Here is a 25,436-nt window from a genome sequence, read left to right as displayed (position 1 = left end):
AAAGTGCTTTGCTCAGTGCCTGGAAGAGTCTGTCTGGCTCTGCCTTTGCCTGACTTCTGATCCTTGGCTTGTCCATCCTTTCTAGCCCCATAATCCCAATTGTGACCCTTTGGACCCACTGACTATCTTTGCTCGTTCTGTTTCCTCTAAGAATTGTTCTCTGGAAACTTCATTTTAAAGAATAAAATATCTAACCTCAGTCGGTTGGTTGAGGGCAGCTCTCCTCAAAGCTTCGGCCTGTGTAGGCCTAATAATCTGTGGCTGTGCCAGTTTTTAACTTTTGATTCGTGTCTATGTCTTCCCTCCTGCGCTAGGTTACAATTTATGTAAAGTGGATAGTGCCACTTCTTTCCTTGTCATCCACAGTGCCTGGTGCCTGAGAGGACAATGTGGCCTAATGGGAAAGACCTGAGTTTTAGAGTCAGCATAAGCCTGCCTTGAATTCAGCTCAGCTATGTACCTGCCACATCAGTCTGGGCAAGTTGCTACACCTCTCTGAGCTTCAGTTTCCACATTTGCAACACGGGCCTCACATTTCCTATTTCACAGGGCTGCCAGGGGTTTTGATGGTATCCTGGCCAGCTCAGACCTAAGACGTGGCTATGCCAGCATTTAGAGTTAGGTGGCCCACTTATGGGGGTTGTGTGCTTTGCATAGATAAAACCTCTCTAACAGGCATGAAATATTGGACGAGAACACGAACTCTGCCCTCAACCAGGGTTCAGGAGTGAACAGACATGGCTAATGGGCTTCAGGGCAGGACAAGAGATAAAAGCAGGTTACAGGTAGGGACAAGTAATCACTGTTGCTAAGCTTAGTTGAAACCTTAACCATATGCCAGACTCTGTTCTAAGCAATTAACATGTAATATACTCTCAATCTTTCCAATCCCTATAAAGAAGGCCTTTTTCTTTTGAATTAGGAAACTTAGACACAGAGAATTTAACGAACTTACCCACAGCCAGGAAGTGGCAGAGCGAGGACTGAGGGGGCAGTGATCCAGAGCCATGCTCCTAACCATAATACCATATGGCCCTCATTGAACTAACTGCCTGCCAGAGTGCTAACACATCCCAGGCAGGAGAAGCGTGATGAAAACAGAGTTCTTTATTACTGGAAATATAATAAACTCTCCTGGGGAAGACTTTCTCAGCGAGTTGGGCAGTAAAACTGAAGTTACAGTAGCATGAGAGGTGCCTCACCCTCACCCAACCCTTGTATCAAAAGAGCTGGGCCCCTGAGATAAAAAGGGCTTCTCTAGCCTGGTGTGGTGGCTCACACCTGTAATCCCAGCACTTTGGGAGGCTGAGATGGGCGGATCACGAGGTCAGGAGATCGAGACCATCCTGGCTTACACAGTGAAACCCCATCTCTACTAAAAATACAAAAAAAAAAAAAAAAAAAAAAATTAGCCAGGCGTGGTGGCAGGCACCTGTAGTCCCAGCTACTTGGGAGGCTGAGGCAGGAGAATGGTGTGAACCTGGGAGGTGGAGCTTGCAGTGAGCCGAGATCGCGCCACCACACTCCAGCCTGGGCAACAGAGCGAGACTCCGTCTCAAAAAAAAAAAAAAAACAAAGGGCTTCTCCGTATCGGATGGAGAGAGATAAGTCCAGGAGATAAGCAGCATGGAACGTGAGGCTTCCAGAAAGCAGCAGCAGCAGAGATGGCACAGGATACCAGGACCGCTGTGTCATAGGTAAATAGGTCCCCCAAATGCAGTGTTGGCCCTGCAATGAAAGCTCTGTAGGTTCTGACACTGGTGGGCCTGGAGAAGAACTCAGGATAGCAGCAGCCAAGCACTGCAGCCCGGACATTGGGATAGCACATCTCCTATATTCATTTTAAGACTTCTGTATTGGAGTATGAGAAAGAACAGGAAAACTCACAAGCCCTAAGTGTCCAGTTCAATAAACATTTATAAACTGAACCTAATCCCTGACCAGGGTTAAGTATCAAAATGTGACCAGCACCCCAGAAGTACTACTTTTGCCTCCTCCCTGTCATTCCTCCCCAAGGTCGCCCCTATCTTGACATCTAAAAAGCCTTGGGTACATTTTACCAGATTTTGCTCTTTATATAAGTGGAATCATTCCTGTACTTTACTTCTTTTGCAAATATGGCTGTGGGTAGGTGTCATTCATTCACTCTCATTGCAGCATGGGATTCCATTGAGTAAATATCCCACAACATTTTCATACATTCTATTGCTGATGAGCATTGCAAGTAGTTTCCAGTTTGGGCTCCCTCCGCTTTTGAGGAATCAAAGAAAGACACAAGAGGAGAAGGATTGAGAACCTCACATTGGTGGAACTATGAACAAATTCTTACCATAATGGCCTTAGGAAGCACAACATGAGATTCTCAGAGATGTCTGGAGAGGAGGACTACTGGAAAGCAGAGGCAAGGATCTGGAGGACTGAAAAGGGAGGGGTTGGCTCAAAATTTGCCTTTATTATTATTTAATTTAATTTAAAGTTCCAGGGTATATGTGCAGGATGTGCAGGTTTAATACTTAGGTATTAAGCCCAGCATGCATTAACTATTTATCTTGAAGCTTTCCCTCCCCTAGCTCCTCACCCACAGGCCCCAGTGTGTGTTGTTCCCCTCCCTGTGTCCCTGTGCTCTGATTGTTCAGCTCCCGCTTATAACTGAGAACCTGTGGTGTTTGGTTTTCTGTTCCTGTGTTAGTTTTCTGTGGGTGATGGCTTCAAGCTCCAACCATGTCCCTGCAAAGGACATGATCTCATTTCTCTTTATGGCTGCATAGTATTCCATGGTGTATATGTACCACATTTTCTTTATCCAGTCTATCATTGATGAACATTTGGGTTGATTCCATGTGTTTGCTATTGTGAATAGTGCTGCAATGAACATACACATGCATATGTCTTTATAGTAGAATGATTTATATTCGTTTGGGTGTATTATCCAATAATAGAAATACCAGTAATGGGAACCAAACACTGCAGGTTCTCACTTATAATAATTGCTGGGTCAAATGGTATTTCTGGCTCTAGGTCTTTGAGGAATTGCCACACTGTCTTCCAGAATTGTTGAACTAATTTGCATTCCCACCAATAGTGTAAAAGTGTTCCTATTTTTCCACAGCCTCACCAGCATCTGTTGTTTCTTGACTGTTTAATAATCGTCATTCTGACTGGCTGGCACGAGAGGGTCCTCATTGTGGTTTTGATTTGCATCCGTCTAATGACCAGTGATGTTGAGCTTTTTTTCATGGTTTTTGGCCACATACATGTCGTCTTTTGAGAAGTGTCTGTTCATGTCCTTCGCCCACTTTTTTTTTTTTTTTGAGATGAAGTCTTGCTCTGTCGCCCAGGTGGCTGGAGTGCAATGGTGTGATCTTCGCTCACTGCAACTTCTGCCTCTTGGGTTCAAGCGATTCTCCAGCCTCAGCCTACTGAGTAGCAGGGATTACAGCCACCCGCCACCTTGCCCAGCTAATTTTTGTATTTTTGTAGAGATGGGGTTTCACCATGTTGGCCAGGCTGGTCTTGGACTCCTGACCTCAGGTGATCTGCCTGCCTCAGCCTCCCAAAGTGCTGGGATTACAGGCCTGAGCCACCACGCCCAGCCCTTTGCCCACTTTTTAATGGGGTTGTTTTTTTCTTGTGAATTTAAGTTCCTTCTAAATTCTGGGTATTAGACCTTTGTCAGATGGATAGATTGCAAAAATTTCTCCCATTCTGTAGGTTGTCTGTTCACTCTGATGATAGTTTAGTTTGCTGTGCAGAAGCTCTTTAGTTTAATTAGATCCCATTTGTCAATTTTTGCTTTTGTTGCAATTGCTTTTGACATTTTCCTCATGAAATCTTTGCCTGTGCCTACATCCTGAATGGTATTGCCTAGATTTTATTCTAGGGTTTTTATAGTTTTGGGTTTTACATTTAAGTCTTTAAGCCATCTTGAGTTAATTTTTGTATAAGGCGTAAGGAAGGGGTCCGGTTTCAATTTTCTGCATATGGCTAGCCAGTTCTCCCAGCACCATTTCCTAACAGGGAATCCTTTCCCCATTGCTTGTTTTTGTCAGGCTTGTTGAAGATCAGTTGTTTGTAGTATGTGATATTATTTCTAAGATCTTTATTCTGTTCCATTGGTCTGCTTATCTGTTTTTGTACCAGTACCCTGCTGTTTTGGTTACTGTAGCCTTGTAGTATAGTTTGAAGTAGGGTAGTGTGATGTCTTTAGTTTTGTTCTTTTTGCTTAGGATTGTCTTGGCTATACAGGCTCGTTTTTGGTTCCATATGAATTTTAAAGTAGTTTTTTCTAATTCAGTGAAGAATGTCAATGGTAGTTTAATGGGAATAGCATTGAATCTATAAATTATTTTGGGCAGTATGGCCATTTTCATGATATTGATTCTTCCTATCCTTGAGCATGGAATGTTTTTCCATTTGTTGGTGTCCTCTCTGATTTCCTTGAGCAGTGGTTTGTAGTTCTCCTTGAAGTCCTTCACATCCCTTGTTAACTGTATTCCTATTTATTCTGTTCTCTTTGTATCAATTGTGAATAGGAGTTTATTCATGATTTGACTCTGCTTGTCTATTGTTGGCGTATAGGAATGCTTGTGAGTTTTGCACATTGATTTTGTATCCTGAGATATTGCCAAAGTTGCTTATTAGCTTAAGCTTTTGAGCTGAGACAATGGGGTTTTCTAGATATAGGATAATGTCATCTGCAAACAGAGACAATTGGACCTCCTCTCTTCCTATTCGAATATCGTTTATTTCTTTTTCTTGGCTCATTGCCCTGGCCAGAACTTTCAGTACTATGTTGAATGGGAGTGGTGAGAGAGGGCATCCTTGTATTGTGCTGGTTTTCAAGGAGAATGCTTCCAGCTTTTTCCCATTCAGTATGATATTGAAAATTCGCCTCTATTTTTACTACCATTTGGTACATGTGGGTTGTAAGGATTGGAAACAATATATGAAACACCTAACTTGGCACCAAGTAGGCACCCAATAAATGGAAGCTGTTGATATTGTTAGGCATGTGCTGATAGCTGATGTTAACTTTATGAATCAATCTTTAACAAAAATGGGGCATGATAAGAAGAAGAGAAAGGTGTGCAAAGTTATATGTAGACAAAGTGGGTGCTGTTGTCATTCTTGCTGGAGACTACAGGGGCTTGTCTTACTTCATTCAGGCTGCTATAACAAAATATCATAAACTGCCTATAAATAATAGAAATTTATTTCTCATAGTTCTGGAGGCTGAGAATTCCAAGATCAAGGTGCTGGTAGATTTAGTGTCTGGTAAGGGACTATTTCCTTGTTCATAGATGGTACCTTGCTGTGTCCTCACATGACAGAAGAAATGAATGGGTTCCCTTGGGTCTCTTTTATGAGGGCAATAATTCCATTCATGAGGGTACTACCCTCCTGACCTAATCACCTCCCAAAGGTCTTACCTCCCAGTACCATCACCTTGGGGGTTAAGATTTCAACATATGAATTTCAGGGGGACATAAATACTCAAACCATAGCAGCAGTCTGGGAGGGCTTCAGGCCCAGAATAAAGCCAAGGGGCACTCCAGACAAAGTTTCATCCAACCTCTTCACTTTATTTTTTATTTTTTTGACATGGAGTTTCATTCTTGTTGCCCAGGCTGGAGTGCAGTGGTGCAATCTCAGCTCACTGCAACCTCTGCCTCCTGGGTTCAAGTGATTCTCCTGCCTCAGCCTCCCGAGTAACTGGGATTACAGGTGCATGCCACCACACCCAGCTAATTTTTTGTATTTTTAGTAGAGACAGGGTTTCTCTATGTTGGCCAGGCTGATCTTGAACTCCTGACCTCAGGTGATCCCCCTGCCTTGGCCTCCCAGAGTGTTGGAATTACAGGTGTGAGCCACTGTGCCTAGCCCAACCCCTTCACTTCAAAGATGAGCACAAGGCAGCCTAGAGGGTTCTGTGACTTGTCTTTGGGAAGCTTCTGGGTGTCTGCTTCAGGTCAGAAAGGTAGGATCAGGACTCCTGGTCAAAGAAAGGGAAGAAACCCACCCAAGAAAGATGCAGGGATGAGAAGTGGGGGGATTCACTGGTGCACACAGCCAGTTCACCGAAGGTTCAAGGTGGCAGATGGCCTCAAGATCACTTGGAACCAGGGTTTTAAATGTTCTAGGATTCTCCTCTCAGTCTCTCAGTTGGCTTTTATCACAAAGCTGGAAGTAGGGCTGTAGGCGGCTCTTGGTTTCACTACCAGAGAGGGATCATCTGTCTTCCTTCAGTCCCTAAAATGCAGGGAAAGGCTCTGATATGTCTGTTGGGCCTTATATTTTCCCCTGTGGGTTGAGAAGGGATGTTGGGGCCGGCTTTAATTTGCAGCCTCCTTTAGAACTGTGTATGTGTGTGCGCGTGTGTGTGGTGGTGGGGGGAGGAACAGTTCCCCCAAAGAAGGGAAGTAGTGTTTCCAGAAGAAGAAAGGGGTGTGTGGCAGTTAAAACAGTAGGCGACCAGTTATCTCAGTTCAGATACTTTAGGTTGTAGGTAATAACTCTTGAACTAATTTAAACAATAAAGACAATTTGTTGGCTCACATAGCTGAAAAAGTTCAAGGTAGATCCTCACTTAGGAGCATTTGGATCTGGGTTCAAATTCTTTTTCCTTTGATTTCTTTCTATTGAATATTCCCTGCAGTGTGTGTTGGTTTCATCCTCAGGCTGGCTTCTAGAATAAGAAATATCTTTCACAGTTTCAGCTGAAGTCCTGAGATTCATTCTGATCAGACTGGGTTAGGTCATAAGACTAGCCATGGCTGGGTGCAGTGGCTCACACCTGTAATCCCAGCACTTTGGGAGGCCGAGGCGGGCGGATCACCTGAGGTCGGGGGTTCAAGACCAGCTTGACCAACATGAAGAAACCCTGTCTCTACTAAAAATACAAAATTAGCTTGGCTTGATGGTGCATGCCTGTAATCCCAGCTACTCAGGAGGCTGAGGCAGGAGAATTGCTTGAACCCGTGAGGTGGAGGCTGCGGTGAGCTGAGATGGCACCATTGCACTCCAGCTTGAGCAACAAGAGCAAAACTCTGTCTCAAAAAATATATAATAATAATAATAATAATAAATAAAAGACTAGCCCTAAACCATTGTGCATGTGTGTGTGTATGTGTGTGTGGCCAGGTGATAGAACACACTAATGGCTTTTCTAAGGTTCCTTGGTCCAACTTCTGGAGCTATGGTGCAACTGGCATCCCTAGAAGGGAAAAGCATAAATGCTAAGGTGGTGGAGCAACCAACAGGAACCCACTTTATCATGAAAAAGATGAAGAGAGGTTAAATAAACAACCCCAAATCACACTCCTAGTCAATAGTGGTTATGAGTTTTGCACTAAAGTCCAACTGATCTCCACAGTCAAAGCATTTGACAAGAAGTCCTCTCATTGGTAAATACAAAACCTGTTATTGATTGCTGCATCATACACTACCCCAAACAAAGTAGCTTAACAATCACAAATTATGATTTCCCCCACCTCTGCTATCTGGGCTGAGCACAGCTGAGTAGCTATTCTGTTCCACGGGTTTCACTCAACAAATGTCTGGTGCCGCCTCCGGGATGCTGGAAGAGCTGGTTGCTGTTATGTGTTTGTCACTCCACGTGGACTTACCAGTAGGATAGAGAGACCTCTTCACTTGGTGGCCCAGGCCTCTAAAAACAAGCATTCCAGAAGGATAAGCCTCTGCTTGTGTCATTCTTGCCAAGTTTCACTGGCCAAGGCAAGTCATGTGGCCAAGCCCAGAGTCAGTGTGGGAGGGATCTACACAAGGTGGTGACTATGAAAAGAAGTAGGTTATTGGAGGCCATCCAGGGTGACCACCATGGCAGTGTGCTCTTGCTCTCCTTCTCCAATATAGAAAAGATTCTGTCATAAGTCAAGGAGCAGAACCCTCTTTTCTTAAACTCTCCTCTTCTTTGAAGGGAATAACTATTCATAGTTAGTCCAATCAAGGGTACAGTGTCTTGTGAGAATCCCATCAATGGGCCCTCCGGGGACCCTTGGTGGGGTGTGGCTGCATGGCCATTGCTGTGGCAGGGTCTGCTGGCAGCTCTGCAGCTAATGACATTTGCAGTTTCCATTACAGTCTGGCTTTCACAATATAGATTGTCCCAGATGCACACCTTGGAGTATGGAGTTTTACTTCTTATTTTATTTGGTTTTATTTCTTAAACATAGGCTGAATGTTAAGTTGCTTGACTTGTGTTTTTCCCCTTTAGGTTTTATTTTGGGAGCTTTACGTGATTAAAGCCGTAGTAGGAGGCTTTACATTTCACCATCTTTTCAGATGCCCAAGGCGTACGTTTTACTTTGGGTATTCTCCTGGGAAAAAAGAGGAGAGTCTTTCAGAAGGGAGGCCATTTGTCACCCACCCCGTGGTCTCATCTAAGGCTGCTGTGTACTGTTCAGCTAATAAATGTCTCATCTCTGCTTTCCCAAGGACCTGGATGATCCATCCACTTTTTATGGGTTGTTAGTATTCCATCACTTCTTTTGCTAAATAGAACAGCTTTAAAATTGGTATCTTTTTCTTATAAAGCTTCCTCATTCCATTTTTTTATTTTTCCCCTTCTACTGTAAAATTAATTCAAATATATTCAAGTTTCTAAATCCCAGGGTTAAAATTTGTCAAGCTCAACATTCTTTTTTTTTTTTTTGAGACAGAGTCTCGCTCTTGTTGCCCAGACTGGAGTGCAGTGGCGCGATCTCGGCTCACTGCAAGCTCCGCCTCCTGGGTTCACGCCATTCTCCGGCCTCAGCCTCCCGAGTAGCTGGGACTACAGGTGCCCACCACCACGCTTGGCTAATTTTTTGTATTTTTTTATAGAGATGGGATTTCATCGTTTTAGCCAGGATGGTCTTGATCTCCTGACGTCGTGATCCACCCGCCTTGCCTCCCAAAGTGCTGGGATTACAGGTGTGAGCCACCGTACCTGGCCCAACATTCTTAACATCATGTAAATTTGTTTTAGGTGGTGTGAGAGTATTTCTTTTTATTTGCTGTTTTCCTTCAAGGGCCATGACACAATAGTTGTCTCAATTCAGCTCCACTTGTTTCCACATACGAATGCTGTCTTTAAGTTTAGTATTTTATTTTCTCTCTCCTCTCATTTCATGTATCAGTCTGAGTTATGCTCTGGATCTTTTATCTTCTAACTTGGCATTTTTTGGGGAACTTACTCTATGGATGTGTTCACCCCACTTTAGCTGTTTTTCTAACTGTCATTTCATGGCTCATAAACAAATAAAAAATTTCAGAGTGTGGCATTTCTGGTAACTCATAGTGGCACATGTTTCGAAGTCAAACAATGGCTACTTGCAGTAGATTTCCAGACTGAAAACAGTCAAATTTCTACCCGAGTCTAGAAAATCAAAACTGGGTATCCCTGTGTCCCTTTCTGAGATACAGAAGCTTGGAGAATGCCCTTAAATATCCTACAGCTTTTGGCATCTCTGAGTCTGTATTCTGAGTCTATAGAATGGGCTTTCTGAGCATTCTTTTTTTTTTTTTTTTTTAGACGGAGTTTTGCTCTTGTTGCCCAAGCTAGAGTGCAATGGCACGATCTTGGCTCACTGCAACCTCCGCCTCCCAGGTTCAAGCGATTCTCCTGCCTTAGCCTCCCAAGTAGCTGGGATCACAGGCGCCCACTACCATGCTTGGCTAATTTTTTTGTATTTTTAGAAGAGATTGGGTTTCAACACGTTGGCCAGGCTGGTCTCGAACTCCTGACCTCAGATGATCACCCACCTCAGCCTCCCAAACTGCTGGGATTATAGGCATGAGCCACTGCACCCAGCTGTTCCTGAGCATTCTTTAGAGACTGAGCCTACCGAAACACAAAAATGACTGCCAACCTTAGTGATGTTGTTTGCTTCCCACTCGGTGCAACTGAGAACCATTTGAAGGCAGAAGACCACATGACAAGTAGGACTTTAGCCACTTCACTTGAACAGAGCAACTGAAGGATGTTCTAGCCACATAGAACTAGGACATAGCAACTGGAACTGGACTCCCTCGGAGCTGAAAGGAATTTGAGATATCAGGTCCATTCTCATGTATTGACTGAACTTTTCCAGCCAAGTGATATTCTTCCCTGGCTTAGAACAATTCTTGTGAATGATTTACAACTCTGCTAGAGTTTAACTATCCACCCTTTTTGAATGCCCAAGACAAATTCTACACAGCAGGGTGGATTAAGCTTCTGACTTGGTTTATCCTTGTGATATAATCTGGATGTCTGTCCCTTCCAAATCTCAAGTTAAAATTTGATGTCTGATGTTGGAGATGGGGCCTGGTAGAAGGTGTTTAGGTCATGGGGGCAAGTCTCTCATGAATGGCTTGATGCTGTTCTCCTGGTATTGAGTGAATTTTTGCTCTGTTAGTTCCCAGGAGATCTGGTTATTAGAAATAGCCTGGCATTTCCTCCCTTCTCTCTTCCTTTGTCTCTTGCCATGCATTGCTAGTCCCCGTTTGTCTTCTGCCATGAGTAGAAACTTCCTGAGGTCCTCACCAGAAGCAGATGCTAACACCGTGCTTCTTGTGCAGTTGGCAGAACCGTGAGGCAAATAAACCTCTTTTCTTTCTAAATTACCCAGCCTCAGTATTCCTGTATAGTGATGCAAAGGGACTAAGACACCTTGTTGGGGATTATGGGAAGTCCTGGCCAGACTCATTTATATGGAAGACCTAGGCTTTGTGATGCAGGTGCAGATAAAGGAAGGTTACGTAGCTTGGGGCTTAGATGCAGAAAAGGGAACCTTTACAAGAGAAGGGATAGCAAGGATTTTAAGGTCTGGAATCTGGATGTTAGGCATGGGAGGTAGGGCTTACTGAGTGACAAAATCGTTGCTTTGCATGGTGGCATAGGTTGTTTTGGCATGGAGGCATGGACCTTCCTGAGGAGAAGAGGGAGGATCAAAGCCAGGAAGTCCCATTGTTGGTTTTTTTCTTGGACCTGGGAAGTGGCAGAGAGGACAGCTGCCGTTGGTGATTTGTGCTCCCTTCCCACAGTAAAGTTGTTGCTTTCTCAGCCCATCTAGATCCAGGTAGGGCCATGAAAGTGAGTTCCAGTCAATGGAATGTGGGCAGAAATGATGACGCCGCCTCTAGTCCTGGCCCCAGAACTTTCCTACAGGATCCTGTACATGTTTTCTCTTTCCAGGAATGCCAACTGACCTCAGCCCCCAGGGCCAGGGCATGGGGACCATGTGTGGAAGATGGCATAGCTTCTGTCAGGTGTGTTTACCATGGTTGTGTGAACTGAGTTTCCCTTCCCCCATTCTCCTCCTTCCCTCCATCCCCAACCACCAGTCTCTACCATTGATGTGAGCAAAATTAAATAACTCTGTATCTTGTGAAGCCCCTGAGAATTTGGAGTGTGCTCGTTATGACAGACAGCATTAGCCTAACTAACACACAGGGGATTCCTTATTCTTCATGGGCTGCTGGCCATTGTCCCCACCTTCGGCATATCCCCATGAGGCACAGTTAGAGGACACGGAGAAGCCATCCTCGCTGAGCCTGCTTCTTGGTCTGAGCCGTTCTTTCCTTTTCAGACATGCTAAAACTTGTGAGCAGAAATGATTACTATACTTGAGTTTTACTTTGGCCCTCCTCTGGAACAAAGCCTGATTCTTTCTAACCTGGACCTAGGACAAAATTGCTTTTGATTACTATTTGCTATTCTCTATGCAAACAACAAGCATTTATTAAACCCCTGGTTTTATCTGGCTAGTTTTGGGCTGGACAGAAAGAGATAGCAAAGAACACAGCCTGTCTTTCCAAATATTTTATAAATTTAGTAGAGACAGAGGAGATTCATGCAGAAGTCATCTAGAGGATAATATGATGCCATATGGGAATAGATTGTATAGGAATTCAGTGAAGGCATAGACTTGTGTGGATTGGCTTTATTGAAGAAGATACTAGGAGATCTAAGGGTTCTACTTGGCCTTGGAGGGAGACTGAGAACCAGAGAACAATGAGTAAGGATGGGCTCTGGTGTGAAGCCTGATATCCTCCTGCTTAGCACAAAAAGAAATTGTCACCTTTTCTTTGGAGCAGCAGAATTAAGTTTGGCCCAGTGAGATGGAGGCTCTCAGGTAACTGCAGCGGGCCAGAAGGGTGGGGAAACTGGGTGAGATGGACACATCTTGCCTCACAGTGATCCCACGGGAGGGGAGGAATTCAGGACCATGGGTTGGTTCCTCTTGTCTCCGGCCCCTGGGGGGGACGTGTATTAGTTTGTTTTCATGCTGCTGATAAAGACATGCCCGCGACTGGGAAGAAAAAGAGGTTTAATTGGATTTACAGTTCCACATGGCTGAGGAGGCCTCAGAATCATGACGGGAGGTGAAAGGCACCTCTTATATGGCAGCGGCAAGAGAAAATGAGGAAGAAGCAAAAGTGGAAACCCCTGATAAACCTGTCAGATTTCGTGAGACTTATTCACTGTCACAAGAATAGCATGGGAAAGACCAGCCCCCATGATTCAATTACCTCCCCCTGGGTCCCTCCCACAACATGTGGGAATTCTGGGAGATACAATTCAAGTTGAGATTTGGGTAGGGGCACAGCCAAACTATATCAGGACCCTACTTCCCTGGGGAGCTCTGCTGTAGCACATATCCCCTTAAACCAGGGGTGTGCTGAAGGCAACGCATTTTGGCTTAAGAGAGTTGATTAGAATTTTGTGAGCCAGTTGTTAAACACACCTATTATTATAAATTAAACTATAGTCTGGGTGTGGTGGCTCATGCTTGTAATCCCAGCACTTTGGGAGGCTGAGGCAGATGGATCACTTGAGCTCAGGAGTTTGAGATGAACCTGAGCAACATGATGAAACTCCGTTTCTACTAAAAATACAAAAATTAGCCTGGCCTGGTGACACGTGCCTGTGGTTCTAGCTACTGGGGAGGCTGAGATGGGAGGATCACTTGACCCTGGGAGGTGGACGTGGAGGCGGAGGCGGAGGTTGCAGTGAGCCAAAACTGCACCACTGCACTCCTGCCTGGGTGACAGAGTGAGACCACATCTCAAAAAACAAACAAACAAATATATATGTATGTATGTCTTACATGAACTTATACTAAATAAATTATAAAACTAAATAAGTGAACTTACAACTAAATAAATTAGATTAAAGTAAATATAATAAATACTCAAAAGTCATCACTTCCCAGGTGTTTTGCTGTTTCTTTCTTTTCTTTTCTTTTTTTCTTTGAGACAGAGTCTCACCTGACACCCAGGCTGGTGCGCAACGGCACAATATTAGCTCACTGCAACCTCCGCCTCCAGGATTCAAACAATTCTCCTGCCTCAGCCTCCTGAGTAGCTGGAATTACAGGCACCTGCCACCACACCCAGCTAATTTTTGTATTTTTAGTAGAGACGGCGTTTCACCATGTTAGCCAGGCTGGTATCAAACTCCTGACCTCATGATCCGCCCGCCTTGGCCTCTCAAAGTGCTGGGATTACAGGCATGAGCCACCGCGCCCAGCCTGTTTAGCTATTTGTTTTGTTTTGTTTTGTTTTTTGAGATGGAGTCTCGCTCTGTCACCCAGGCTGTAGTGTGGTGGCGCGATCTCGGCTTACTGCAAGCTCCGCCTCCTGGGTTCACGCCATTCTCCTGCCTCAGCCTCCCAAGTAGCTGGGACTACAGATGCCCGCCACATGCCCGGCTAATTTTTTTTTGTATTTTTAGTAGAGACAGGGTTTCACCGTGTTAGCCAGGATGGTCTTGATCTCCTGACCTCGTGATCCTCCCGCCTCGGCCTCCCAACTATTTTTTATTATCTATGCTCTAGAAGCTCTTTATGACTATTGTCACTGTACGGTGGTCTTATGGGTTCATTTGTGTTCCCTCCCTCCACAAATTCATATGTTGAAGTCCTAACCCCCAGTATCTCAGAACGTGACCTTATCTGGAAAGAGGGTTGTTGAAGATGTAATTAGTTCAGATGAGGTCATTAGGGTGGGGCCCTAGTCCAATATTACTGGTGTCCTTATAAAAAGAGGAAGTTTGGGCACAGAGAAATATGCACGCAGGGAGGATGTCACGTGAAGATGAAGGCAGAGATTGGGGCGATGCAGCAGAAGCCAAGAATCGCCCAACACGGCAGCAAACCATCAGGAGCTGGGAGAGACACAGGGAACAGATTTTCCCTCGGGGCTCACAGAAGGAGCCCCCCTTGCCCACACCTTCAACTTGGACTTGCAGTCTCCTGAACCGTGGAACAATGAATTTCTGTTGTTTGAGGCACTTGGTTTGTGGCACCTTGTGATGGCAGCCCTAGGAAACTCACACCAGTAGAAATATGACATTAGATTTCTACAAGCTGGTGAACACCACCTCCCCATACTCCTCGTGCAGTGACTTTGCATTGTTAGCTTGAAATAGCCACAGCAACTGATTTGTAAACAAACGCTACAAATCAGGCTGGATTTATTGTCTCATTGGTTGTCTAGACAAGGGGTTGGGAACTACAGCCTGTGGGCCAAATCTGGGCCCCCACTTGCTTTCATAAAAAGTTTTATTGGGACATAGCAGGGACGCTCTTTTGTGTTCCTGTTGTCGACGGCTGATTTGGCACTACAATGGCCCCGTTGAGTAGTTGTGACAGAGACCGAATAGCTCACAAAGTTAATATTTACTATCTGGCTCGTAAGAGTCAAATTTTATGGAACCCTTGGTCTAGACTTAAGGAAGTGAGGGAGATAATATTAAACATACAGATAAAACTTTAAAGTCTGCCTATCAATAGCCATTACTTTGTGAATGACACAAAAAAATTTGAGAAAATCTTCCTCCAGTCTTTGACAACTGTATCTGATTCTGTAAAGGAGTTGTTCCTATCATTGACGAATGAGTGGAATTCTGACACAGATCTTAGTTGTTTCACTTTCCTGTTGTTTACATAAATGAAAATAGCAACCAACAGCCATCCCAGAACTATACTTGTTCATCAGTTGCCACACTGGTTGGCTACAGAGAAGAGAGTTTGTCAAAAATCAATGGAAGTTGCTGGGTGTGGTGACTCATGCCTGTAATCACAGCACTCTGAGAGGCTGAGGCAGGAGGATGGGGCAGGAGTTCGAGACCAGCCTGGGCAACATAGTGAGACCCTGTCTCTGGTTATTATATTTAAAAATAAAAATAAGTAAAATAAAAATCAATGAAAGCATACATAAGAAACAATTGGCTATATGGAATTTACCAGATTGTGTGTATCATATAGCAGTAAAGTTTATAATAAACCTATGTGTTTACATCTACATATGCACACATTTTCTCTCCTGGAGAGCCACTTATTAAACTTTTATCAGCACGCCACTTCACCTAACCTCTGTGCGACACCTGCAGCTGGGCAGAGGACACATAGTTTGTGGGGCTGTTGCCATATGACTCTGGCCTTGGCTTGGTTTCACCACCATGCTGCCTAAGGGAGCACAGTTGGTAGAAACAACTGCGGTAGGAAGGCCCAGTGGCACGAAGGAACTGGGCTTGGCTACTCCCTGCCCTGGGGGATGGACAGTACGTACCAAGCTTCAGGGGTGAAGCAGGCCTGCTGATGAAGGGGTGCCAATGCAAATCCGAGGTTGGACTTGCTCCCACCAGTGATAGAAGTCCTTCAGCAAGGGAACAACAGGGTGACAGGCCTGATTTAAGAAGCCAGATTTGGTAACAATGTGAAGGACAGATTGGATGGGAACAACCAGCTCTGGGGCTGTCACAATCTGTGGTTTAGTAAACAGAGCTCAGAAAGTCCATGGCTCTGCCCTAGGCATGTTTTTTGGCATTTGTAAAAAAGGCTTGCAAAATGTTAAGAAATGGGATCCTTGCTTGACTGTAGAAGTCTCAATGGAACCCCAGAGCCTACAAAACAGAAAAATAGAAAAGCAATTCTGAAAAGCTTTGCCAAATGGCTGTCATGTGGCTTTCTACCATCCCTCTGTTGCTTTCTAGGTGCCTATTAGAAATGAAGAAATAGTTTGGCAGCGACCTTCCCTTGAAACAAGCAGTTATGGATGGAGGGCCTTGATTTGAAACTAAGACTGTGCATTTGCAGTAACTTGACAAGGCTCTTGGGTTCCATGGAGAATATATTGGGTGGGGCCGCCCACAGCACCTTGGGTTCATCTCTAGCAGGGCATGTCAACTCTTACCTGGTCTTCCCAGCCCGTGACGGCAGATGCCGGGACAGTTGCTCACCACATAGCAAAAGCTGCTCATGACATTGCAAACCCCTCACTACCCAGCAAGGCAATGACTTTAGTCAGTATCCTGTCCTCAGGATGGTCTTCTTACAGCTGCTTCTTTCCCCCAAGCCCAGGTTTGATTTTAGGTGGGAAGGATTTAAGAAACTTTAACTTAGGCCAGGTGTGGTGGTTGACACCTGTAAACCCAGTACATTGAGAGGTTGAGGCGGGATGATTGCTTGAGCCCAGGAATTCAAGACCAGGCTGGGCAACATAGTAAGACCCTGTCTCCCTCTGAAAAAAAAAAAAGAAACTGCAATTTGTTGCTCTGCCATCTGGCATGCAGCCCCGGACTTGTCCGCTACATCGGGTTCAGAACTGGCTGCTGGTCTGGAGCGTTTCTCCCAGTGTGGGGCTGGTCAGGTCTGCCTGTTCCTGGGGTCCCTGCTCAGTGTTACAGATGCCCTAGGACAGGGGTGCAGCCTGGTTCGTGGCAGTCCTCCTGTGGCCTTCAGAAATGGATCCTCACTCCGGGTTCCCAACCCACTGGGCTTGTAACTTGCTGACAAATATTCAGATAACTGCCTGTCTGCATGCATTTGTTCAGTCAGGATACTGACTGACATCACTGACTTGCTGGGTGGTGAGGGCTTATTGCTAGAATTTTCTTTTCTCCACTCAGCACTGGACTTCAGATATGTGGTGGAAAAGACAGTGACTTTGGAATCAGCCAGATTCAGCTAAACTCTATGTTTTGCTGAAAGGTAGCTGTGTGGTCTTGGGCAAATAAGTTAACCTCTCTGAGCCACGGTTGCTTTTCTGTAAAAAGGAGGGTCAGACTGTCTGTGTCAGGTTGTTCTGAGGATTAAAAGAGATGACATAGGTAGAGAGACACCTCAATGTGCAGTGCTTGTCGGTTATCTGTTAGATAATACAGATAGTATCGTAGATATTAGCTAATACCAATGAGATCTGTTTGCTAGGATGTTCTTCAAATGCGACTGGAGATCTGTTTGCTAGGATGTTCTTCAAATGCATATTCTGATTCGGTTGCTCTAGAGCTGGGCCTGAGATGCTGCATCTTTAACAAACCCCCAGATGATGCCGATGCTGCTGGCCCCAGACCACACTCTGAATAGTGAGATGTGACATTGACCTTGGCTTCCTTCCTCGCACCTGCAGCCTCCAACTCCTGCCTTATCCCAGAGGGAAGCTCTTACTTCAGGCCAGAGACCCATGATCCTCCTTCTCCTAAGTCATCACCTAGCCTTGTCAGGAGATAAGTCCCCTGACTTCCGTAAGTCAGGCGAACTAATGTCAGAGGAGGGAGAAATGAAACGTGAGTGTGTGTGGTGGGGAATTTACAATTACAACAATCGAGGTGGGCAGATCACTTGAGGTCAGGAGTTCGAGCCCAGCCTGGCAAACATGGCGAAACCCCATTTCTACTAAAAATACAAAAAAAAAAAGTTAGCCAGGCATGGTGGCGGGTACCTGTAATCCCAGCTACTCAGGAGGCTGAGGCAGGAGAATCACTTGAACCTGGGAGGCAGGGGTTGCAGTGAGCCTTATTGCACTCCAGCCTGGGAGACAGAGTGAGACTCTCTCAAAAAAATAAAAATAAGTAGAATTAGAACAATGAGCAGGATAGATGCAGTAACAAGCAGTCAGCAGGGGCAGGTGAGTGCAGCTCCATTCATTCCTAATATCTTAAGCACATCATGACTTAAAAAAACATTACGATGAATGAACCACAGAGAGCTGGGATGTGGAAAAATTTGGAGGGAGCTCATGGCTCTGTCCCTGAGCTGATATAAGATATGGAAAAGTTGCAAGAAAGAAGGCAAAAAACAATGTGCATGCTTATGTGGGTCTGTGCTCTATCCGGTTTTCATTCCTGGAAATGCACCTTTTCTTCTTCTATATTTTATTTTCATCACTGAATGCCTTTGTGTGAAACCTTTGGGTGCATGCCTCTCTTTCATCCAGATGTTCACACTCTCCTCCTTGAGGCCCAGCCTGAATGCCATGTCCTCTTACAGCCCTTAGTAGGGTAGTGAGTTTCTCCGAGCCATCCTGGTCCCACTGTGTCAAACTGTCCCAGTCACAGGAACCGCAGCAGCCCCCTGACTCTCCCCCAGCCCTGCTGGATCTCTCTAGTCCTGCCGGGCTTTCCCTCTGGGTGGGGACCAACAGGGAGTCGCTTAGTGTTTGAAAATGGCTGTGATGGCAATGGAGGCACCACCGCAGCTCCCCACAACAGACCCCACACTGTTGGTCTGGCCACTATAGTTGGGATTCTGTCTGCCTCCAGAAGGCCTCATGAATGAGGAACCTGTGTGACTTTTATCCTGTTCCTCTCCATCAGGCTCTGGGTTAGGGTGAGTGGGTGGGGATTACAATTCTTTCCCCCACACCAGGTCACAGCCTGCAATGGGACAGTGATAGAGCTTCGACTGACTCAGTTTTTAGCTCATCTCCGCCTTCTTAGGAAGATGGCTGTGGTCCAGAGGGAGCTGGCCGGGAAGTTTCTCATCCAGGGCTCTGCTGGCTCTTTAAGTGTGTTGACCCCGTACGGCTGTCTGAGGAGCTTCATAAAGGCATCAGTTGTAAGTGTCCAAATAGACAGCTCCATTTCCCTTTCCCATGAAGCTTCTCAGTTGTTCTTGCAAATAGAGCAGCTTCCTGTCCATCTCCCTCTCTCCATCCAGAAGCACTTCTGTCTTCTGAATTTTTTTTTTTTTTTTTTTTTTTTTTTTTTTTGAGACGAAGTCTCTCTTTTGTCAACCAGGCTGGAGTGCAATGGCGCGATCTCGGCTCACTGCAACCTCCGCCTCTTGGGTTCAAGCGATTTTCTTACCTCAGCCTCCCAAGTAGCTGGGATTACAGACATCTACCACCACAAAATTTTTTTGTATTTTTAGTAGAGACAGCGTTTCACCATGTTGGTCAGGCTGGTCTCAAACTCCTGACCTCAGGTGATACGCCCACCTCAGCCTCCCAAAGTGCTGGGATTACAGGCATGAACCACTGCCCCCGGCCTGTATTCTGAACTTCTATAGCCACCTTCACTTGTCTCTGTTTCCTATTCCATTCCTTTTTACACATGCATTATTTCAGACTGGGCTGGATTGTCCTGGAAGGCAGGATTCGTGTTGGAAAATATGTTCTTAGTAGGGGAGTGAAAAATTCGTATGCTTTTGTACCATATCAGTCTTATTAAGCCAGTCTCAGTTAGACCTGAAATTTATTTTCATGTCTTATCTTTGTCTCATCTCAGCTTAATATTGAGCGACTCTTGAATCTTTTAGAGTAGTTGTGATGGGCAGATACACCATTTGCTGTACCACATAGATCCTAAGAAATAATATCACCAGGCCATTTTCAAAGTCAAAAGCCACATAATTTAGTGTTTGGAAATACAAGATTTTTTTTTTTCCTCAAGTGTGGAGACTAGAAAAGTAAGCTGGAATGCCAAACACTTGTTTTGAAATTCTTTTAAACATTATAATTGATATTCCTTATGTTTGGCTTTGAAAACAATTCTCTCCAGAGCCTACAAAGAGCTCCCTCCGATCCTGGTAGCCGGCTGAGGCCGCAATGCTGGAAAAGTTGCCTGCCTGGGTCTGGGAGTCAATTCTGTTCTTTCTCATCAATAGTGGGAGGAGCCAAAGACGATGGAGCTCTAAAGTGTGGACCTCTTTCAGAGCAGTTAAAAAAATCAGTGTCTCTGGCAGAAGAAAAAGGGTAGGGGGAAGGACAACTCAGATCTTGGATCATAAATGAAAGCATCTCTTTAAGCCGCTGCTCCCTCCTTCCTCCTACCCCCAGGCTGCGCTCACACAGAATCGCAGAATCATCACCAAGAGTGGGTTTAAATTTGGTTGCACTGGTAAGGGTAAGGCCCTGACATGACCGTAAATTACAGGGGATGGGGTGCAGCAGCTGGAACTTAATGGGATTATTCTGGGTTGTGACCCCTGCCGGGCAACCCCACCAGGGAGAAGCCTCTGCATCCACACTAAAATTGCTCTGCACTCCATCAGCTGGAAAGGTGTCATATTGCGTTGTGTCAGTGACTTGAGAGTTCTTAATTCAGAGCAGCTGGTTGACCTCTGCAGGAAGGAGTGGCCTCTTTGGGCTATTTCCTCCTCACTGTCTCTTCAAACTTTGCTTTTGTGGAGTTTGGGCAGCAGATCTAATTGGTGGCTCTGTGGGCTTCCATGTGACTTTTCTGTAGCAGCACTTCCATCGGAGCTCCTTCCTCTTCCTCTAGGACCCGCGTTTTATTTTATTTTAGTTTCTTTGAGATGGAGTTTTGCTCTGTTGCCTGGCTGGAGTGCAGTGGCACTATTTTGGCTCACTGCAACCTTCGCCCCCCGGGTTCAAGCAGTTCTCCTGCCTGAGCCTCCCGAGTAGCTGGGATTACAGGTGCCCATCACCACGCCCTGCTAATTTTTGTATTTTTAGTAGAGACAGGGTTTCAACATGTTGGCCAGGCTGGTGTCAAACTCCTGACCCCAAGTGATCCACCTGCCTCGGCCTCCCAAAGTGCTGGTATTACAGGCATGAGCCACCGCGCCCGGCATGGGCCTGCATTTTAATCAAATCTCTAGTCACCTTTTCCTGGCCCAAGCGGTTCTGGAGAGCACCACCTCTCAGATCATGGAATTGAAGCTGGTTGGACGCATATGTTAAGTGTGGCTGTTACTTAAATACGTGGTCACCAGAATAGCTAATTAACATGCTTCCCTGCCCCTTCTGCCGTCCCCTGCACACAGAAAGGAAAATAATGTTTTATTTTTAATTTTTTGGCTTCTCTGATTTTGCTTGCTATTTTTGGCCGAAAGTCTATTTTATTAAGTTCAAAGGCATCTCTGTTTTGCCAGGAGTGGAGAAATAGAGCAACTTGCCAGCAGTACCTGAAGAGACCAGGGTCTTCTGGGCCATAGTGTTATTCTGGGAATCCTGGTTTCCACAGGAAGCATGCTGTTGATTTTTGTTTCTAATGTTGGAGTTTCGTAGTAACACTGTTTTAGTATTGGGGGACTGGGTGATGAGATTCCTCTTGGTATTTCATCCATTTACAGGCCACCACTGACTGAGCACCTACTACCTGTCCTGTGCTCTATTCTGAGACACAAGGATGAATGATCTGTGTCTTTAATGCTTGTGAGGCTCAGAGAGTATCGAGGAAGAAAGTTATGTAAACTGTGGATTGTAATGTAATGTGATAAGTACGGGTGTGTGTCTATTTGCAACACGAATGCTTCCAGGCATGCCAGCTTGTGGGTACAGATGAGGTCAAATGCACTGTCAGAACTCACATTTCATTGTTCCGGCCCCTCCCCCATCACTCAGAACCTCAGCCATTTATCGCTGTGAGTCCCTGGGGTCTCGCTTCTTTTCTTTGGCTCGTGCCTTTATGCTGTCCCTGGCCCCCAGGTCCACTGCTGGGTTCCTCTGCTGCTTGTGTTCCCTGGGATGACCCTTGGGCTTCTGCCAAAAGCCTGACAGCTCCTGCTCCCCAGGCCCACTCAATGCCTTGGTCCTCACCCACATCCCTGAGCTGAGCCACCCTCGGTCCTGGGCAAGAGAGGGGAGAACATGGCTCGCCTCTCTTTTGGGTTACATTTCATCACTGGGCACAAAGCAGCATGTCTGGGCTCCTGTGTCTCACAGCTCCTCTTTCAGCCAAGTTTCAGCAGAACTTGGACATAAATCCATGGGGCCAGGTCAGGGTCCAACATCTGGTACAAACACAATAAGCACCTTCTTGCAGACATCACCCCCATTGAGTAAGTGCATTCCTCTCTTTCTCTTACTTCCTTCTGCCAAGCATCACCTCCTTAAACAAATGGCTTCTGCCGGCCACTGGTCAGTTCATTAGACACACTCAGACTTAATGCTTCTTAAGGGTGTCCTTTTCTTCCTGCTCTCACCATTTTATTTCAGGTCCTCATGACCTTGCCTGAACTGTTGGCCATAGTTTTCTAATTGGCTTTCCTTCCTCTGGTCTTTGCTCCCTTCCACCCTGTACCCAGAGTTGCTTCAATCAATGACCATCCTTGGAAAGGGTCTGTTCTGAGTTTGCGTTGTACAGAAATGATCTTGCTAATTAGAGCAAGGTCCCAGGATATGATTAAAATTACATTGCTGGTGATTGGCCTCTTATATATTTTTTATATATACGGTTTTTACCTTACCCAGTTTCCAAATGGAATTTGATTTCATGTGATTCCATGAATCATTCTTGTTATTCCCAGCCCATCAATATCTAGGGGAAATGGCCATTTAGAATCAATGTCTTTATTTGTTCCATCTGGATAGTTATGAAATTTGAAAGCATTAGAACTCTTATGAAGAAGATGGTCCTTACCAAATTTCAGAAACAAAGATTGGATTTAGGCCCACCATAGCTTTATTCACGATGGGCTTTAATGATAGTATCTGAAATGGATTCACTAGAGAATGCGGTCCTGCCCTGGGGCCTCATGTTTCTGAACTGATGGAAACCGCTGGACGAGCAGAGCTGGGAGCTGGGAGAAGTCAGGATATTAACTAGGCAGCACTGGATAAATCACAAACCAAGATCCACAACTTCCTCAAAGGGTTGACTCATAGCATTGACCAGTGCCAAAGATCTACTACAATAGTAGCCTTAAAAAAAAAAAAGTTTCACTAAGGTCAAGAAGAACCATAAGCACTGCCTATGCATTAAATTAACACTGGGGAACATTTTTATCATAATGCAATACAATTTAGATTTTTCTCATTGTTTTCATTTTGGAGGGAAAAGTGAGCTCCTCAAAGCCGTTTGCTTAGTATGTGTGTCACCGATTTGGAGACCAGATGCTGGGAGATACTGGAAGTCTGTGTCTAGAGGGGACTCTGCCTGTGGAGCTGGAAAATCTTTCTCCTGACTCAGTTGCTCCACCCCAAAAGGATACCAAAAATATTGTGCAAAGAGAGAAAAGTCAGGATCTTGGTGAAGGGAGCAGCCTCCTCCATCCTTTTAATCAAAGAAAATTTCATGATTGTATCCTTACAGTCCTTTGTTGTAAGGTAAAGGCTGTAGAAAGAGATCCCAGCAGGCTGGATTAGACAAGGAAATCTCCACAATATAAAAGGAAATTGCCCTTGTCTCTAAAGGATGGGCAGGATTTAGACAGCTGGAGGCAAGAACATTCTCCATGGGGAAAGGGGCAGTGGAGATGGAAATGGGATTGATGGATTCCTGAGACAGAGGTCGGGAGCCTTGCTGTGAAAGAGGAAATGTGTTGGGAAATAGTAGGAACCGAAGTTTCTGGGCAGAGCAGGCCTTTATTATGGAGGGCCATGAAAGACAGGAAAAAAAGTTTCTGTTTAACCTTGCAGGAAGCTGGAAGCCATGGAAACTTTTCAGCAGGGGAATGACAATAACAAGACAGACTTGGAGACAGAAAGCCTGGATTTGGGGGCATTGTAATTGAGCGCCAATATCATGAAAATAAAATAAACAATAACAACAAAAACTGCTGAGACTATGGAGACTGATTTGTTATGGGAAGGGAAAGAAAGTGATGTCAAAGATGCCACCAGGGGTTGGACTAATAGAGACCAGGGCTACCCAAAGACACGAGGAGGGGCTGCTGGTCTGGAGGGAGGGTTGTGAGTTTTGTTTTGCCTGTTTGAGTTTAAGAACATGATGAGGAACCCAAGTGCAGCTCAACAGTGGGGCTGCTGCCTGAGCCCCTGGAGACTAAATCCGCTTAGAGGTGATGATTGAAAGAAAGTGTGAGCCTGGAAAAATGTTCTTTTAGAGAAAGCGTGAAGAAAGGAGAGCGGGGGCCCAAGACTGGGCCTTGGACTGGAGGCTGAAGAGGAACCTGTGAAGGAAACAGAATGTTCCCAGCCAAGGGCTCCCTGGTCCTGCAGGATGCCTTGCTGCCTGCTGCCCAGGGCACAGCAACCATTGCTACCAAAACAGTGCCAGCTCCAGCTTGCGGCAGAGAAAAGCGATGCAGGCCTGGAGGCCAGCAGCAATGTTGACATGATGTGCTACATTATTCGACCTACCCACCTTGGTGTCTACTTTAGGGCACCCTTTCAAATCCGGCGCTGTCGGGTGCAGTATCCATGTTACCAATGGTTTAAGCTGATAGTTTAGAAGGGCCCTGTAATTAGGGTTGCCAGATTTAGCAAATGAAAATATAGGATACTCAGTTAGATTTGACCAGATAAACCATGAATGTTTTTTAGTATAAGTATGTCCCAAATATCATATAATATATACTTGTATTTTAAAATGTGATTATTTCTCTGAAATTCAAATTTAACTGGGCATCTTGTTTTTCATCTGGCAATCTTTCTATACTCTGATAAATCTTCTGATCTCAGTTCTAAGGGGGCCATGATCACACCTTTTCTTGGCGAGTGGCCCCTCTTCCCCAAGACACATTTCATTCTCTTTTTTCCCTCCCCCACATTGAATCAGATGGTATTATTCAGAATACACAGGCCATTGTTCTACACCCACCATGTGCTTGGCAGGGCACAAGTTATTTTCACATATACAATATCAGTAGTTTGCAACTTGTTCAGGGGATATAGAACTTGAAAATCAGGTGCTTTTGGCAGACTATCACAGATGTAAAAATTTTTTTTTTTTTTTTTTTTTTTTTTTGAGACAGAGTCTCACTCTCTTGCCCAGGCTGGAGTGCAGTGGCATGATCTTGGCTCACTGTAACCTCTGCCTCCTGATTCTCCTGCCTCAGCCTCCTGAGTAGCTGGGATTACAGACATGCATCACCATGCCCGGCTAATTTTTGTACTTTTAGTAGAGATGGGGTTTCACCATGTTGGCCGGGCTGGTCTCAAACTCCTGACCTCAGGTGAGCCGCCCACCTTGGCCTCCCAAAGTGCTGGGATTACAGGTGTGAGCCACCGTGTCTGGCCATAAATGTAAAATAATTATACCAGCAATTCTGACAATGCCATGGAGGTGGGAAAGAAGCCCCAACAATGATTGAGACTGAAAGTTATGTGCGGGCATGCAATGAAACATTACAATAGAAAAATACATATATCCAAAGTACAGTCATGTTTTTAAGTCATTCCATTGATATTTTTGACAGGCAGTTTATTGAGATATGTGTTTTTGTTCTCCCTGTTGTATTTTCACCTTCCTCATTCCTGAGAAACTGAGTCTTGTCTTATAAGACCAAAGCATGACTTGTTGGTAC

At 45.1% G+C, this 25,436-nt stretch overlaps 1 long non-coding RNA gene across 1 annotated transcript in view, besides 4 other annotated features; it reads left to right on the top strand.

The window, feature by feature from the left end:
- The window catches only part of LOC105374945 (uncharacterized), a 148,669-nt gene that overhangs the window by 104,694 nt on the left and 18,539 nt on the right, over positions 1-25,436 (top strand). The window lies entirely within an intron of this gene.
- Positions 12,107-12,307: a silencer, noted in NCBI's record as "peak5674 fragment used in MPRA reporter construct". NCBI's record gives its function as "represses an SCP1 promoter by STARR-seq MPRAs in K562 erythroleukemia cells {active_cell/tissue: K562}" and the evidence as "EXISTENCE:reporter gene assay evidence [ECO:0000049][PMID:32103011]".
- Positions 20,459-21,170: an enhancer, noted in NCBI's record as "H3K4me1 hESC enhancer chr6:14883452-14884163 (GRCh37/hg19 assembly coordinates)". NCBI's record gives its function as "activates a minimal SCP1, AML or CMV promoter by ChIP-STARR-seq in primed H9 embryonic stem cells {active_cell/tissue: H9 hESC(primed)}" and the evidence as "EXISTENCE:reporter gene assay evidence [ECO:0000049][PMID:30033119]".
- Positions 23,626-24,135: an enhancer, noted in NCBI's record as "H3K27ac-H3K4me1 hESC enhancer chr6:14880487-14880996 (GRCh37/hg19 assembly coordinates)". NCBI's record gives its function as "activates a minimal SCP1, AML or CMV promoter by ChIP-STARR-seq in naive H9 embryonic stem cells {active_cell/tissue: H9 hESC(naive)}" and the evidence as "EXISTENCE:reporter gene assay evidence [ECO:0000049][PMID:30033119]".
- Positions 24,136-24,646: an enhancer, noted in NCBI's record as "H3K27ac-H3K4me1 hESC enhancer chr6:14879976-14880486 (GRCh37/hg19 assembly coordinates)". NCBI's record gives its function as "activates a minimal SCP1, AML or CMV promoter by ChIP-STARR-seq in naive H9 embryonic stem cells {active_cell/tissue: H9 hESC(naive)}" and the evidence as "EXISTENCE:reporter gene assay evidence [ECO:0000049][PMID:30033119]".

Source organism: Homo sapiens, chromosome 6 (assembly GCF_000001405.40).
Source record: "Homo sapiens chromosome 6, GRCh38.p14 Primary Assembly".
In the NCBI taxonomy this organism is placed as follows: Eukaryota; Metazoa; Chordata; class Mammalia; order Primates; family Hominidae; genus Homo; species Homo sapiens.
Note: the sequence above shows the minus strand (reverse complement) of the source record. Positions and strands in the feature narration are given on the sequence as shown.